Below are 19158 nucleotides of genomic sequence, written 5' to 3' on the forward strand. Positions count from 1 at the left end.
TGATTTCATTCTTTATACATATACACCACATTTTCTTTATCCAATCTTCTGTTGATGGATATTTAGGCTGATTCCACGTATATGCTACGGTGAATAGCGCTGCAATAAACATACCAGTGTAGATACCTTTTTGACATGATTTCTTTCCCTTAGGGTATATTCACAGTAGTGGGACTGCAGAATCAAATGGTATCACTATTTTTAGTTCTTTGAGAAATCTCCATACTATTTTCCATAAGGATTTTACTAACTTACATTCCCACCAATAGTGTATAGTGTATAAGCATTCCCTTTTCTTCACACCTGTGATGGTTAAAACTGAGTGTCAACTTGATTGGATTGAAGGATGCAAAGTATTGATCCAGGGTGTGTCTGTGAGGGTGCTGCCAAAGGAGATTAACATTTAAGTCAGTGGGCTGGGAAAGGCGGATCTACCCTTAATCTGAGTAGGCACCATCTAATCAGCTGTCAGCACAGCTGGAATATGAAGTAGGCAGAAAAACGTGAAAAGACTAGACTGGTGTAGCCTCCCATCCTACATCTTTCTCCTGTGCTGGATACTTCCTGCCCTCAAGCATTGGACTCCAAGTTATTCAGTTTTGGGGCTCGGACTGGCTATCCTTGCTCCTCAGCTGGCAGATGCCCTACTGTGGGACCTTGTGATCATGTGAGTTAATACTTAAACTCCCCTTCATATATATATAATATATAAAAATATACTACATATTATGTACTATATATATATAAAATATATACATTATTTTTTATATATATAATGTGTGTGTGTATATATATATCTCCTATTAGTTCTGTCCCTCTAGAGAACCCTAATACAGCACCCTTGGCAACATCTGTTGTTTTTTTGACCTTTTAATAGTAACTAACCATTCTGACTCATATAAGATGGTTTTAACCCATTTATGCTGGAAGCTGCAATTATGAGTGAAAAATCAGAACTTGGCAATGACCTTGAGCAGTAGGATATAAATAACTCCCACATGCTTAGTGTTCCAATAATGGAACACTAGGCATAAGTGGATTAATTTGTATTTCTTTTATGACTAATGATGTTGAGGATTTTTTCATGTTTTTTGGCCACTTGTATGTCTTCTTTTGGAAAATGTCTGTTTGTGTTATTTGCCCATTTTTTAATGTTTGTTTTTTTCTTAAGTTCCTTGTAGATTCTGGATATTAGCCTTTTGTCAGATGCAGTTTTCACATTTTGCACATATTTTTTCCCCTTTCTGTAGGTTGTATGTTTACTCTGTTCACTGTTTCTTTTACTGTGTGAAAGCTTTTTTAAAATTGTCTCATTTGTGTATTTTTGTTTTTGAGGACTTGGTTATAAATTATTTGCCTAGACCAATGTCCAGAATTTTTCTCAGGTTTTCTTCAGTATTTTTATAGTTTCAGGTCTTATGTTTAGCTCTTTAATCCATCTTGAGTTAATCTTTGTATATGGTGAGAGGCATGGGTCCAGTTTCATTCTTCTACATATAGCTATCCAATTTTCCCAGACCCATTTACTGAATCGAGTGTCCTTTCCCCAGTGTATATTCTTGTTGATGATTAGCTGGTTGTAGGTATGTGGCTTTATTTCTGGGTTCCCTATTTTGTTCCAGTAATATATATATCTATTTTTATGCCAGTACCATGTTGTGTTGGTTACTATAGTCTTGCAGTATATTTTGAAGTCAGATAATGTGATGCCTCCACGTGCTCTTGAACATGGGAGAGTTTAATGATTTTATTAACAAGAATAAAAAGAGCTCCTGAAGAAGTCAATCAAAGGGGAAAAAATCCACTGAAAAGCTAATCATCATAAGGATTGTTTACAACAGAATCTGGCAAGACTGGAGAAGGGGACATTTTTCTCCTTTCATTTCATACTTCTATGAAAAACTGGTAGCAAAACCCAGGAATATAAAAATTTTCTGCTCTTCAGTTTTTTCTAAGAAGCAAAAACAAAGCTATTTATACATTTATAGAAAGGATATTTCTATGGTTAAAAATACTAAAGTTGTGGGTACCAAATATATTTTTTAAAAGTAAAGATCAAACACTTCCCTGTTATGTCACAAGTAATAAAAAGAACTGCTGATAATACCCAACCTTCCTTTAAGAATTAAAAACAGGGGTGGGCAAATCACTTGAGGCCAGAAGTCCGAGACTAGCCTGGCCAACACGGCAAAATGCTCTCTCTACTAAAAATACAAAAATTAGCCATGTGTGTTGGCGCACACCTGTAATTCCAGCTACTCGGGAGGCTGAGGCATGAGAATCTCTTTAACTTGGGAGATGGAGGTTGCAGTGAGCTGAGATCGCACCACTGCACTCCAGCCTGGGCAAAAGAGCAAGACTCTGTATCAAAAAAAAGAAAAAAGAAAAAGAAAGAGAGAATTAAAAACAAAGGTCAGATGCCAGAGGATGTTTTATCTAATTTTTCAATACACACCTCATTCCATATACACAAACAGTAAGCAATCTGTTCATCCTATAATAGTGGCTTTGCAAATCTCACAGAATGCTATCATGGTTCCCATTCTACAAACTATATCGCATTCTGCCACAAATAGGCAAATATTTTATGCCTACAAGAAAACAGCTATTTGGATATAAATAGCTTTTAATTGCCTGAAACAATAGAGAAGGAGGAATCAACAACAACAACAAAAAAAGGTAGATTCACGTTCCTCTTACAGCCTGTGGCTTGTTGCTGCCATCTCTAAACAAACATTTAGAACTCATCTTTGAAAAGTCCTTTCCTCACATCTGAGGACAGAACTCTGTATAAAAGTTTCCAATGGTTGCCCCCACAGCTATAAGAATAAGGTTCAAGTCTCATAGCTTAGTAAGATACTTAGAAATTGACGTCTACATAACTTCTCTCCCAGCCTCATCTTGTGCCATCCCTTCGCAATCCTTAGTCAACTAATACCACACTTAAGATCATGAGGAATATGATCCCCAATTGAGAAGATGGGAGTAAACTGGCTAACTCTAAAATGTATTATTCAGGGGATATAGATGAAAGACAGATACTAAAGGAAGTTCTCCAGGACCAAAGTGACACTAGACAGTAATGAATCCACAGGAAGAAATAAAGAGCACTGGTAATGGTAATTACAGGTAAAGGAAAAATGACAGTATAAAAGGCTGTATAAATATAACTTCTACTTTTTTCTTCTCTTAAGAGGTAACTGCATAGAACAACTATAAAACTGTATTGTCAAGTTTATCCCATATAAACATATGAAAATGAAGCACAAAAATGGGAGTGAATTATATTGAAAAAAAGAGATGACACTAGATGGTGACTCAAATCCACAATAAAAAAGAATACTGAAAGTGGTAAATATATACATTAATATAAAAGACTATAAATGTTTTTCTCTTTCTTCTTTAAAAGATAAACTCTATACAAAGCAATAATTAAAACATTACTGTTGGGTTTATTACATAAATTAACATAATATATATGACAACAGTAAAAGAGACGAGAGAAAATAGTTATACCGGAGGACTATTACTATGTAACAATCATTATTAATCTGAGGTAGACTGTGATGGAACAAACGCTAAAAATATAATTTTTAAAAATCAAATAAAAAATAGAAAATAGAAAAGGTGATAAAAGAGGAACATAAAAGACATGAGATGTATAGAAAACAAATAGCAACTGAGATACAAATCCAACCATTTCAAAAGTAATATTAAATATAAAAGGATTAAACACTCCATTAAAAAGAGAGATTGTTGGATTGGATTTAAAAAGCAATACCTAATTGTATGCTGTCTACCTAACACTTTAGATTCAAAGACACAAGCAGGCTGAAACGATGGAAAAACATATACCACACAAAGAATACCCATAAGAGAGCTGAAGGAGTTATATTTGTACCTGACAAAACAGACTTTAAGTCAAAAAAAGTTACTGGAGACAAAGAGGAACATTTTTTTAACATTAATAGTATTAATTCAACAGGAAGATAAACATAAACATATGGAGCTAACAGGCCAGGCGTGGTGGCTCACGCCTGTAATCCCAGCTCACACCTGTAATAACAGGCCGAGGCGGGCAGATCACAAGGTCAGGAGATCACAAGGCCAGGAGATCGACACCATCCTGGCTAACACGGTGAAACCCAGGCTCTACTAAAAATACAAAAAATTAGCCGGGCATGGTGGCGGGCGCCTGTAGTCCTTGCTACTTGGGAGGCTGAGGCAGGAGAATGGCCCGAACCCAGGAGGCAGAGCTTGCAGTGAGCCGAGGTCGCACCACTGCACTCCAGCCTGGGCAACAGAGCAAGACTCCGTCTCAAAAAAAAAAAAAAAACCATAAAAACCATACGGAGCTAACAAAACAGTCCCAAAATAGGGAAATCAAAAAAATGACAGAAATGAAGGGGCAACAGGCAATTTAACAATAATGATTAGAGACTTCTATGTTCCACCCTAACAATAAATAAACAAGAAAGCAGGGAATTAGCAATGAAGATCTGAACAACACTATAAATTTGACCTAACTGACATCTATAGAAGACTCTGCCCAACAGCAGTATAACTTATTCTCAAGCACATATAAAACAATCTCCAAAATAGATCACATGCTAGATCATAAAACAAGTCTCAAATTTAAAAGAACTGAACTGATACAAAAAAATGTTTTTCAATCACTGTATAAGTAAATTAGAAATCAAAGATAAAAAGAAATTTCAGAAATCCAAACATGTTTGAAAATTAAACAAGACACCTGTAAATAACCAATGGACTAGAGAGAAAAATCACAAAGGAATTTAGAATACATTCTGAGCAGAATGAAAATGTAAACAAAACACATCAAAACTCATAGGATACAGACAATGCAGTGTTTAGAGGGAAAATTATAGCTGGGCACAGTGATGTTAAAAAAGAAAATTCTCAAGTGAGCTTCAACCTTAAGAAATTAGAAAAAGAGGAGCAAACCAAACCCAACACAAGTAGCAGGGGAAAAAACAATCAATATTAGAGGAAGAATCAATGAAACAGAAAAAAGAAAAAGAAGAAAATGAAAACCAAAATTTGGTTTTTTAAAAAGACCAAGAAAACTGACAAACCTTTAATTAAGCTAACCAGAAAAAAAAAAAAAAAATGAAGATACTAATTACCAAAATCAGGAATGAAAGAGAGGGTATCGCTACCGAACTCAGAGGAATTAAAAGAATTTTAAGGGAATATTATGAACAACTGTATACAAACAAATGTAAACAACTTAGAAAAAAATAAATTCTAAGACACAAATTACTGACTCTGAAGAAGATACAGAAAATATGAATAGAACTCTATCAACTAAAGAAATTAGTAATTAAAATCTTCCCACAAAGAAAAGCCTTGGCCCACATAGTTTCTTTCACTGGTGAATTTTACCAAACACTAAAGAAATAATATTAATCCTTCACAAACTCATCTAGATACTTCAATAGAAAACACTTTCTAATTCCCTCCATGAGGCTAACATTACCTTAATACCAAAGCCAGACAAAGATATCACACGAATAGAGATTTTTTTTAATCCTAACAAAATATCAGCAAACCAAATCCAGCAGCATACAATAGGAATCATACAAATTGGCTATTCTTAAAACATTAAACATAAGCTTATTATACGACCCAGCGATTCTACTCAAGAATCTTTGTGGCCAGGCATGGTGGGCTCACACCTATAATCCCAGCACTTTGGGAGGCCGAGGCGGGCAGATCACCTGAGGTCAGGAGTTTGAGACCAGCCTCCAGCCTGGCCAACATGGTGAAACCCCATTTCTACTAAAAATACAAAAAACTTAGTCGGGCATGGTGGCACATGCCTGTAATCCCAGCTACTTGGGAGGCTGAGGCAGGAGAACTACTTGAACCCAGGAGGTAGAGGTTGCAGTGAGCCGGGACCACGCCACTGCACTCCAGCCTGGGCAACAAGAACGAAACTCCGTCTCAAAAAAAAAAAAAAATCTTCGCAAGAGAAGTTAAAACGTGTCCATACACAGACTCATACATGAATATTCATAGCAGTATTATTCATAGTTGCCAAAAATGGGAAACAATTCAAATTTCCATCAACTTGTGAATGGATAAACAATATGTGATATATCCATACAATGGAATACTATTCAGCAACGAAGAACCAATTAATACATGTTACAACATGAATGAACCTCAACAACATTTATACCAAATTTTTAAAAGCCAGACAAAAAATGATCACGTATCATATGACTCCACTTATATAAAATGTCCATAAAAGTTTATAAAATAAAACCATTATTCAATGGTGGCCTGGGGCTGGAGGTGGGACTAGGAGTAACTGCAAAGTAGGTACAAGGTATCTTTTTGGGGTGATGAAAATACTCTAAAACTGGTTTGTAATGATGAGTGCAAAATTCTTTAAATTTACTGAAAACAAATTGCACTCAAGACATTTTATGAATTTTATGGTATATAAATTATACCTCAATAAACTGTTAAAAAAAAAACACACTGATCTAACCAATCACCAGCTCTTTTAATCCAACTTAAAAGGCTGATCAGCTGTTCAGGACCTTAGCTGTAGAAGACATAACAAAAAACAACTGAATTACAGCTGGAGAGAACCAAAGTGGGTAAAAGGGAAGATTTTCTGACATGTTGATTCAGCACACAGGAACACCAAACCAATGAAAACTATAATCACATTTCAGAATCAATGTGGCTCAGATAGAGGGCTACTTGAAGAGTGGGTCAAATTTCCATCTGCAGGGTAAATAATAACATGATACATGAACCAGACAAAGACACATTAAAAAAAAAGAAAACGATAGGCCAATATCACTGAGTAATATTGACTCAAAAAATCCTCAACAAAATACTAGCAAACCAAATTCAACAACACACTAAAAAAAATCATTCATCATGACCAAGTGGGACTTATCCCCCGAGGGATGCAAGGATGGTTCAACACATGCAATCAATTAATATGATACATCATATCAACAAAATGAAGGACAAAAACCACATAGTCATGTCAACTGATGCTGAAAAAGCATTTGATAAAATTCAACATCCCTTCATAATAAAAACTCTCACAAAACTAGATACAGAAGAAACATACCTCAACATAATGAAAGCCATATACCACAGACACATAGCTAGTATCACACTGAATGGGGAAAATTGGAAAGTCTATCCTCTAAGATCTGGACCACAACTAGGATGCCCACTGTCACCACTGTTATTCAACATAGTACTGGAAGTCCTAGAGAAATCAGACAAGAGAAAGAAATAAAGAGCATCCAAACTGGAAAGGAAGTCCAATTATCCTTGTCTGCAGATGATATGATCTTATATTTGAAAAATCCTAAAGACTCCACACACAAAAAAACTATTAGAACTGATAAATTCAGTAAAGTTGCAAGATACAAAAATCAACATACAATACTCAGTAGCATTTCTATATGCTAACAGCAAACAATCTGAAAAAGAAATCAAGAAAGTAATTCCATTTATAACAGCTACAAATAAAATACCAGGAATTAACCAAAGAAATGAAAGACCTCTACAATGAAAATTATAAAACACTGATGCAAAAAAATTGATGAAGACACACAAAAAATGGAAAGATACTCCATGTTCATGGATTGGAAGAATCAATATCATTAAAATGTTCACACTGCCAACAGCAATCTATAGATTTAATGCAATGCCAATGACAAAATACCAATGACATTCTTCACAGAAATAGAAAAAAAAACAATCCTAACATTTATATGGAACAACAAAAGACCCAGAATAGCCAAATCTAGCCTAAGCAAAAAGAACAAACTGGAGGAATCACACTACCTGACTTCAAATTATGCAACTGAACTATCCTAACCAAAACAGCATGGTATTAGCATAAAAAGACACATAGATCAGTGGAACACAATAGAGAACCCAGGGATAAATCCACACACCTACAATGAACTCATTTTTGACAAATGTGCCAAGAACACACATTAGGGAAAGGGTAGTCTCTTCAATAAATGGTGCCAGGAAAACTGGATCTCTACATGGAAAAGAATGAAGACTCCTGGCCGGGTGTGGTGGCTCACGCCTGTAATCCCAGCACTTTGGGAGGCCGAGGTGGGCGGATCACTTGAGGTCAGGAGTTTGAGACAAGCCTGGCCAAAATGGCAAAACACTGTCTCTACTACAAATACAAAAATTAGCCAGGCATGATGGTGCACGCCTGTAATCCCAGCTACTCAGGAGGCTGAGGCAGAACTGCTTGAACCTGGGAGGCAGAGGTTGCAGTAAGCCGAGATCCGCGCCACTGCACTCCAGCCTAGGCAACAGAGCAAGACTGTGTCTCAAAAAAAGAAAAAAAGAATGAAGACCCCTACCTCTTGCCATATGCAAAAATCAAATCAAGATGGATTAAAGACTTAAATCCAAGACCTCAAACTATGAAACTACTGAAAGAAAACATCTGGGACACTCTTCAGGACACTGACTGGGCAAAGATTTCTTGGCTAATACTCCACAAGCACAGGCAATCAAAGCAAATATGGACAAATGGGGTCACATCAAGTTAAAAAGCTTCTGCACAGCAAAGGAAATAATCAACAAAGTGAAGAGACAACCCACAGAATGGGAGAAAATATTTTCACATCAAGTTAAAAAGCTTCTGCACAGCAAAGGAAATAATCAACAAAGTGAAGAGACAACCCATAGAATGGGAGAAAATATCTGCAAACTAATTCTCTGACAAGGGATTCATAACCAGAGAATATAAGGAGCTCAAACAAATGTACAGAAAAAAAACCTAATAACCCAATAAAAAAAAATGGGCAAAAGATCTGAATAGGCATTTCTCAAAAGAAAACATGTAAATGGCAAACAGGTACATGAAAAGGGTCTCGGCATCACTGAGCATCAGAGAAATGCAAATCAAAACTACAATCATCTCACCGCAGTTAAAATGGCTTTTATCCAAAAGTCAGACAATAACAAGTGCTGGAGAGGATGTGGAGAAAAGGGAACCCTTGTACACTGTTGGTAGGAATGCAAACTAGTACAACCACTAGGGAGAACAGTTTGGAGGTTCCTCAAAAAACTAAAAATGGCACTAGCACTACCATATGATCCAGTAATCCATCTGCTTGGTATAACCCAAAGAAAGGAAATCAGTATATTGAAGAGATATCTGCACTCCCATGTTATTATATAGGCATAATTTATATGTATAATGTTATATATTGTGTATAATTTTTATATATAACATAATTTATATATAATTTTATTTTATAATTTTTATATTATTTTATAATAATTGATATATAATATGCACATTATATATAAAAACCTTGGTTATTATTCACAACAACCAAGATTTGGAAGCAACTTAAATGTCCATTAACAAAGAATATATGGTCCATACACACATACTGTTCAGCTATAAAAAAGAATCACAGCCTGTCATTTGCAACAACATGGAACTGGAGGTAATTATGTTCAGTGAAATAAGCCAGGCACAAAAAGACAAAGTTTGCATGTTCTCACTTATTTGTGGAAGCTAAAAATTAAAACAATTGAACTCATGGAGACAGACAGTAGAAGGATGGTTGGGAAGACCATCCTCTGAGACCCATCCTTTCTCAGAGGCTGGGAAGGGTAGTTGGGGGATGGAGGGGTGGGGAGGGTTAATGGGTAGAAAAAAATAGAAAGAATGAATATGACCTAGCATTTGGCAGCACATCAGGGTGACTATAGTCAAAAATAATTTAAATGAACATTTTAAAATAACAAAAGAGCATAACTGGGTTGTCTATAACACAAAGCACAAATGCTTGAGGTGATGGATACCCCATTTACCCAGATGTGGTTAGTATATGCACTGCATGCCTGTATCAAAATAGCTCCTGTAACCCATAAATATATACACCTACTGTGTACCCACAAAAGCTAAAAACAAAAATTTTTTAAAACATAAATAAAAGTTTGGTTTTTTTGGAATATTACATATATTAATATTTAAACTTGACATATGCTGATGGGAATGAATGTTTTCACTAACCAAAGAAATTCAACTCAAACAACTTTGATTTACTGCTTTACACTGAAGAAAACAAGATTTTTAAAGTTATACTGTTATATATAGCACACCCGGACAGAAACAAGCCTTGTTAAGGCTAAATTATGTAATGAGTGTTGCTTATCTGGTATATTAGACTGTTCTCGCCTTGCTATAAAGAAATATCCAAGACTGGGTAATTTATAAGAAAAGAGGTTTAACTGGCTCATCCTTTTGCAGGCTATACAGGAATCATAGTGGTATCTGCTTCCAGGGAGGCCTCAAGAAGCTTTCAATCATGGTGGAAGGCAAAGAGGTAGCAGGCACATCACATGGTGAAAGTAGGAGCAAGACAGATCAAGTGGCGAGGTGCCACACACTTTTAAATGACCAGATCTCATGAGAACTCACTATCACAGGGACATCATCAAGGGGATGGTGCTAAGCCATTCATGAGAAATCTGCCCCCATGATCCAATCACCTCTCACCAGACCCCAATCCCAACACTAAAGATTACATGTCAACATGAGATGTGGGCAAGAACACACATCCAAACTCTATCACCTGGTTTTGCCCCATCTGAGCATCAGAATCTTAATAGCGTCCATCCGGACACCAATATACAACAATATGTAGTGGCAGGAGGAGAAGTACAAAAAAAATGAAAAATAAGAGATAAACAATACACCTCAATTTCAAATAAGGATAGAATTAGGAGTACAGCAGAATAGTTTGAGCCAAAAATAAGGGAAAAAAAAGAGAGAGAGGCAGAAATTAAAGTGTAGAAATAAAACAATTTACAATAAGGAAAGGTATCAATAAGAAAGCAATGGGTAAAAAAAATGAATACAAATAAGAGATAAACAATACATCTAAATTTCAGATAAAGATAGAATTAAGAGTACAGTAGGCCAGTTTGAGCCAAAAATAATAAAAAAAAAAAAGAGGCAGAAATCAAAATGTAGAAATAAAACAATTTACAATAAGCAAGGGTATCAATACGAAAGCAATGGGCAAGTTGCAAGAGGCAGAAGATGGAGATGAAAAGGAGAAGACTGAAAGCGTGTGTACATTAGGAGTTAAGGCTTAAAAAGTTGGGCCAAAAGGGCTAAAGGAAGGGAGGTTAAGGTGGAAATGCAGGAACGAAAGCTGGGTAGGGTAGGTGATAGTTGAAGAAAAAGGGGATGGGTGTTGTAGAGAACAAAATGAAGAATAAAGCTCCATAATGGTTGATATGAAGTGAGCTGGGAGACCCTCAAATAGCCCAGAATAATGCAGGCATGGGATAATTATGCCTACAACACCCAGTCTGGACTGATTCTGGACTGTGAGCAAAGAAGTATCAATCAATATCTAGTAATTAAAGTAGACTGGTCACCCAAACAAAATCTCAAGAAATATACCGGTAGTAAAAACTGTCCCATACTTCAGAAAACACTATTATACATAATGTTGCTCAAATCACAAGGTCAAGACTTCTCAAGAGGTCAGTTTGTGGCGAAAGGGAACCAAACAGATTAGATGAAGTAGGTTCCAATACAGCAGAGTTCAGATTCACTGTAGGTAAAGAAGTGGGAGAACTGACAATGAAAAAAGTTGTGGTCAGAGAAAAAAAAAACAAAACACCTCAATTTCAAAACTAAGGCTCCAAGGAGGTAACAGAACAAGAAGGTGAGCAGGTAAAGGGTTCATGTGATTTTGTAATGGATCTGGAAGGCTTATAAGGCAGAATATTGTTAGTAAGGAGACAACAATATGAACAGGTTGATTAGTGACATTAAAAGCGATACTTTAATAGTTAAAACATAGGAGGTTCTAAAACCAATAATACACCAAGACATGTAAAATAATCTCCGTATTGATAATCTGTAATAGTTAAACAGTCACTGCACTTAAATTTAAGTGAAGATGATATACAGAAATTCAGTTTTATAATAAAAGATTAACTGAATGGGAATTTGTTTTATTAAGGGACTCTATTTGTATTAGTCGGTTCTCACACTGCTATAAAATACCTGAAACTGGGTAATTTATAAAGAAAAGAGGTTTAATTGGCTCACAGTTTGGCAGGTTGTATAGGAAGCATAGCGGTTTCTGCTTCTGGGGAAGCCTCAGGAAACTTATAATCATGGCAGAAGGCAAAGGAGAAGCAGGCATATCTTACATGGCTGGAGCAGGAGCAAAATGGGGACACGGGGGTGCTAGGCACTTTTAAACAACCAGATCTCACGAGAATGTAGAACAGTACCAAAGGGGAAATCCCCCATGATCCAATCACCTCCCACAAGGTCCCACCTCCAACACTGGGGATTATAACTAGAAATGAGATTTAGGCACACAAATCCAAACCATATCACTATTTTAAAAATAACTTACAATGCATTTCTTCAAAATAGCAAGTCACCTATTATTAAATGAGTGGATTAACTGTTACATAACATATACACAATCTTCCAGAACATTTCTAAAGTATATATATATATATATTCCATATTACATTTATCCCTCTTGACTAGCTTCTCAATTGGGAAATACTCCAACTAGGTTCCCTCTTTGTCCTGAGAATGTCTAAAAGGTTACAGCTCCTTGGCATTATCTGTTGAAGTTTCTTGATTCCAGACATCTCTATTTCAATCATTCAGGCACTTACAGACATGCTAGTTTCTAACTACCTGCCTATGCCTTGGATTAGGCTACTTATTAGATCTACTTGACTAATACCACACTTGCTATTCTATCTGGTTTCAACTCCACTGCTCACTCTGATGCTGAAGTCTGCTTATACATCCTTTAAAAGCCAGCTGTTGTTAACCTTCACGTATTAGTCCACTCTCACACTGCTATAAATAACTACCTGAGACTGGGTAATTTACAAAGAAAAGAGGTTTAATTGACTCACAGTTCCACAGGCTTAATAAGAAGTATGACTCAAGAAACTTAGAATCACGGTGGAGGGCAAAGGGGAAGCAAGCACGTCTTAATATGGTGGAGCAGGAGGTAGGGGTATGTGCCACACACTTTAAACCATTGCATCTCGTGAAAACTCGCTCACTATCAAGAGAACAGCAAGGGGGAAATCTGCCCCAACAATCCAATAGCATCTCACCAGTCCCCTCCTCTGACACATGGAGATTACAATTTGAGAAGAAATTTGGGTGGGGACACAGAGCCAAACCATATCATTCCACACCTGGCCACTCCCAAATCTCATGTCCTTTTCACATTTCAAAACCAACCATGCCTTTCCAATAGTCTCCCAAAATCTTAACTCGTCCCAGCGTTAACTCAGAAATCCAAGCCCAAAGTCTCATCTGAGACAAGGCAAGTCTCTTCCATCTACGAGTCTGTAAAATAAAAAACAAGTTAGTTACTTGAAAGATACAATGGAGGTACAGGCATTGGGTAAACGTTCCTGTTCCAATGGGAGACACTGGCCAAAACAAAGAGGCTACTGGCCCCATGCAAGTCTGAAACCCAGCAAGGCAGTCATTAAATCTTAAAGCTCCAAAATAATCTCCTTTGACTCCATGTCTCACATCCAGGGCACACTGATGCAAGAGGTGAGCTCTCAAGGCCTTGGGCAGCTCTGCCCCTGTGGCTCTGCAGGGTAAAGCCCCCGAGGCTGCTTTCACAAACACAATATATACAGGGTCTGGAAGTCAACAGCTGAAAGCTTACCTACCATATAAACGAGTTAAAAAATACAAACAGTATAAACCAAGGGCAACAGTTCCTAAATTCTGACCATTTTATAACAATCGAAAGAGCTCCACTGATTAAAGTAATAGTGGATGCTGTAATGGATAAATCCCAAATTATCACATAACAGAATAGGTTATTTTTATTTCATGCTCACATAAAGTCAAAAAATCTATGTTAATGATCAGCTGGGTGTGCCTGAGGAGGCTGGAGACAACCCAGGCTGAAAGAAGTTCAGTTCTCTTTGACCCCTCATTTCCAAAGTTGCTCTGGCAACCACCACCCAGCCAGCAGGTGGAAAAGAAAGACAATCTTTCAAGGGAGGTTTCTATTTGCCAGGACTAAAGTAACACTCAACACTTCTGCTTTATTTCCTATGGCCAGATTTCAATCATATGGCCATCCCCAAACACAAAAGGTCTAGTAAATATAAGTTATCTGGGGCCTGGGAGAAAAGAAAACAAGTTTGGTAAACAGCAAGCTAGTCTTTACCACAAGAGGTTTTAAGACACAGATTCTGGGGCATTACCCCCAGAAGATCATCATTCAGCAGGTCTAATAGGATCCCAAAGAATATGTATTTAAGCTTGCCAAGTGACTCTGATGTATGCTCCAAAGTTAGGAAACAGTGGCTTAGAAAGTAAAGAACTTGGAGCAAACAAGAAACTTTTCCATGAAAAATTTAAAAGAATGTACTAAATAAAGAAAAACTAAAAAGTGATGAAAAAATTAAGACTTCATGTCTAAGAGAATATAGGGTGCAACTGGGATTGCTTGTGATAGCAATCTCTTATGGCTTTCTTCCTAACTCTAGCAGCTTCTTAGATTTTCTTTCCTCCATTCATTCCATATTTTCCATGATACTCTGCTGGGCCATGAGCTTTTTCTCATTCCTTGAGTGACCTCATTCACTTTAATTATCACCTAAAAGCCCAGCCTCACATTTAACTGTCTACTGTAACAACACTTCTCCATTTAGATGTCCTACAAGGACCTCAATATATCCAAAACTGAATTCACCTCACCTTCAAACCAGCTCTTCCAGCATGCTCTAAATCTTAGGCCCTCTAGTCAAATCCCCAGGAGTTACTGAAGAGTCATCCTTCTCCTTCAGCCCCTACTATCCAGTTATCAAGTCCTATCAATTTTACATCCTAAGTATCTCTGGAATCCATCCCTTTTGCCAGTATCTTAGGTAAAAACCACTTTTCAAATGGATAACACTTACTACCAGTTCCACCTGCCTCCAGCTTCACCTTCAACACAAACCTATATTCTATACTATCTTCCAGAATTGATTCAAAACAAAATCCTGCACCGATTCCCTGCTTTGCCTCTTCCAGTGGCTCATGATTGCTTTCAGAATAAAGTTCCAACTTAGAACTCAGCACACAGGATCTTCATGATTTGGCCCTTATCTCCAACAGGGTCATTTCTTCTCACTTCAAGTCCTCTGTGTTGCAACCATATTTACTTCTTGACAGTTCTCCAAACACACTCTTGTGTCCTTTGGAGTCTGGTATAGCACTTGATGCACAATAAAATCAGAGTCAAATAAATTTACAAACAGTCATGCTGAATTTGGGGCAACACAAATGTAGCTAACTGGAATTATCAAATAGGCAGATGTTAGAGAGATTCAAACTTAGGTGAAAACTCAAAACCAGAACCACAAATTTGGGAATCACCACTAAAGAAACAGTATTTGGAAGTCTTAAGAATGAAGAAACTCTGACAATAATGTGATCTTGGTTAAAACCAGGGGATTTTTCTTTCCTAAACTTTCATTATACCCAAATAGCTACCTTGTGCAAGACAGGGGCTATTTAATCCATGTTTAAGAAGCTAACAATAGCTGAATGTAGTGGCTCACACCTGTAATCCCAGTGCTTTGGGAAGCCAAGGTAGGAGGATCACTTGAGCCCAAAAGCTGAAGACCAGCCTGGGCAACAGAGGGAGACCCATCTCTACAAAAAAATTAAAAAATTAGCCAGGCATAGTGGTGCATGCCTGTGGTCCCACCTACTCAGGAGGCTGAGGTGGGAGAATCGCTTGAGCCCAGGAGGTCTAGGCTGCAAGTAAGCCATGATCACACCACTGCACTACAGCCTGGGTGACAAAGTGAGACCTTAACTTAAAAAAAAAAAAATATAGCAGCAGCTAACAATCAATAAATTAGAAATAGGAAGGAACTTCCTCAACCTAATAAAAACCATCTATGAAAAACCAACAGCTACATCATACTTAATGATGAAAGATCATGAACAAGACAAGGATGTCTACTCTCACCACTTCTACTGAACACCGTACTGGAGGTTCTAGTCTGGGCAAGTAAGCAAGAAATAAAAAGCATCCAGACTGGAAAGAAAAAAGCAAAATTATCTCTAGTCACGGAAAATTATCTCTAGCCACTAAAAAAGTATTAGTGCTAATAAGAAAGTTCAACAAAGTTGTAGGATTCAAAAGCAATATATAAAATCACTTGTATTTCTATATATTACCAATAAACAATCTAAAAATAAGAAAATTCCATACACAATAGCATTTTAAAACCTTAGAAATTTAAGAAAGTCCAAAACTTGTACTCTTGAAACTACAAGATACGATGAGATTAAAGAACCTTAATAAATGGAAAGCATCCCATGTTCATGGAAAGACTATTATCATTAAGATGGCAGTATTTCCCAAATTGATCTATTGATTCAATACAATACCTATCGAAATTACAACTGTCTTTCTGGAAGAAATTGACCCATGGATGCTAAAATATGGGAATGCAAGTGACCCATAAAAGCCAAAATCTTAAAAAACAAAAACAAAAATTGGAAGACTTGCACTTCCCAATTTCAAACTTACTACTGAAGGAGTGAAGGATCTGTCATTCCAAGATATAAGTCAGATTGGTATAGTGATTATTTTGAGTTGAAAACATTAGAGAAATTGTAGTTTTCTACAAAGACAGGGTGAGCTAACCTGTCTCTTCCTACACGCAGCCAAGACATAAAGATTCCTCTAGGAGGGGTACCCTCACCATACCAGGGAGAGAAAAATAACCCTTACTTCCAGAGAGTTGGAATTGGAAGCTACAATGGACCTGAATAAATATTCTTAAGGAAGTAATCCTTATCTTCTACCTGTTTCACACCCCTCCCCAATATATCTCCTAGTTAACTCCCCTAGAAAATTTTCTGCCCCAGCCAGATTTTCTTTGTTCTATCATTTTTCCTCAAATTTATCATTCTTTGTCTAAAAAGTATAAAAGCATCTTGCTTTGGTCACTTCTTCAGAATTCAATCTCTTGTGAAGATCACCATGTATACGGAAAACTTATTAAATTTGTATATTTTTCTCTTGTTAATCTGCCTGGTGTCAATGTGGTTTCTAGACTCAGCTGAAGAGCCAAGTAAGAGGTTAAAGCAGGGTTGGAAGCGATCTCTGACTCTGTACACTACAAACCTACAGTTATCAAGACAGCATGGTACTGGCATGGGGACAGACATATAGACCAATGGAACAGAACTGAGAGCCCAGAAATAAACTCCCACATTTAGAGTCAACTGATTTATGATACAGATGCCAAGACAATTCAATGGGGGAAAGATTACCTTTTTCAACAAATGGCACTGGGACAACTGGGTATCTACATGCAATAAAAAAAAAAAAAAATATATATATATATATATATAGAGAGAGAGAGAGAGAGAGAGAGAGAGAGAGAGAGAGAAAGTTGAAATCCTACCTCATAGCATATACAAAACAACTCAATATGGATCACAGCCCTAAATGTAAGAGCTAAAAACTTTTCCTTATATTAGCTCCCTAGGGCTAACAAATGACCATAACAGATAACCATAAATTTGGTAGCTTAAAAAACAGAAATGTATTCTCTCACAGTTGTGGAGAGTACTAGCCTGAAATCAAGGTGACCTTCTGAACACTAAGGGGAAGTCCTTCCTTGCCTTTTCCAGCATCTGGGCTCCTGGAGTTCACTGGCTTGGAACTGTATGACTCCAACCTTTGCCTCCATCTTTACATGGCCTTCTCACCTACTGTCTCTGTCTTCTCTTCTGTTGGGTTCAGGAGGCTTCTGGGCTGAACACACGGAGATTCCTGGACAGTGGCATCCCCAGAGAGGGCATGGAAGCTTCTACTCTTTCTGCCATACTTCACCCTATGTATTTCTTCCATCTCTATCCTTTTGTAACATCCTTTAGAATAAATAAGTAAAAATAAGGTTTTCCCTGAGTTCTGTGAACTGCTCCACCAAATTAATCAAACCCAAGGAGGGGGTCATGGGAACTCCAATTTATAGCCAGTCATCAGAAGCCCAAGTAAAACAACTTGGGGCTTGCAACTGGCATCTGAAGTGGAGGCAGTCTTGTGGGACTGCACTTGTGGATCTGACAATATCTACAGGTAGACAGTGTCAGAACTAAACTGAATGAGAGGACATCTAGCTGGTGTACACTGGAGAATTTGCTGAAGAACTGGTTGCTTCCTTGGTATGTGGGGGAAAACTGAAATGTGACACATTTGCTCACAAAAGCATTCTATGTTGTCAGATTATAGTAAGAGAAACTGGGTTTGTTTTTTCCTATATCCTTATCACAAATAAATACTTCTCCAAAATAGACACACAAATGGCCAATATGCACATGAAAAGATGCTCAACATCATTAGGCATCAAAACTGCAGTAAGATACTACTTCATGACTGGGTGCAGTGGCTCACACCTGTAATCTTAGCACTTTGGTAGGCTGGGGAGGGGGAGGGCTGCACATGGCTTGAACTCGTAAGTTCAAGGCCAGCCTGGGCAACACGGCAAAAACCCATCTCTGCCAAAAATAAAAAAAAATTAGCTGTGAATAGTGGCATGTACCTGTACTCCCAGCTACTTGGGGGGCTGAGGCAGGAGGATAACTTGAGCCCAGGAGGTTGAAGCTGCAGTGAGCCGTGATCATGCCACTGCACTCCAACCTGAGTGACAAAGTGAGACTCTGTGTCAAAATAAATAAATAAATAAATAAATAAATAAATAAATAAATAAATAAAAGAGATACAACTTCAGACACACTAGGATGGCTATAATTTAAGACAGACAATAACGAGTAGTATTGAGGATGTGGAGAAACTGGAATGCTCATACGCTGCTGGGAATGAAAAATGGTGCAGCCACTCTAGAAAACAGAATAGTTCCTCAAAAGGCTAAATACAGAGTTACCATACTACCCAATGATTCCATTCCTATATCCCAGAGAAATGAAAACTTACGTCTACATAAAATCTTGTACACAAATGTTTGTATCAGCATAACAACCAAAAAATGTAAACACAAATGTCCATGAACTGATGAATGGATAAAGAAAATATGGTATATCCATACAATGGAATATTATTC

At 37.2% G+C, this 19158-nt stretch overlaps 1 protein-coding gene across 12 annotated transcripts in view, besides 2 other annotated features; it reads right to left on the reverse strand.

Annotated features, from left to right (window-relative positions):
* The window catches only part of ANKRD28 (ankyrin repeat domain 28), a 192579-nt gene that overhangs the window by 165544 nt on the left and 7877 nt on the right, over positions 1-19158 (reverse strand). The gene's annotated exons all lie outside the window — the stretch shown is intronic.
* Positions 13047-13126: an enhancer, noted in NCBI's record as "active region_19538". NCBI's record gives its function as "activates an Ori minimal core promoter by ATAC-STARR-seq in GM12878 lymphoblastoid cells {active_cell/tissue: GM12878}" and the evidence as "EXISTENCE:reporter gene assay evidence [ECO:0000049][PMID:35858748]".
* Positions 13615-14114: an enhancer, noted in NCBI's record as "H3K27ac hESC enhancer chr3:15887901-15888400 (GRCh37/hg19 assembly coordinates)". NCBI's record gives its function as "activates a minimal SCP1, AML or CMV promoter by ChIP-STARR-seq in primed H9 embryonic stem cells {active_cell/tissue: H9 hESC(primed)}" and the evidence as "EXISTENCE:reporter gene assay evidence [ECO:0000049][PMID:30033119]".

This window comes from Homo sapiens, chromosome 3 (genome assembly GCF_000001405.40).
Source record: "Homo sapiens chromosome 3, GRCh38.p14 Primary Assembly".
NCBI lineage: Eukaryota > Metazoa > Chordata > Mammalia > Primates > Hominidae > Homo > Homo sapiens.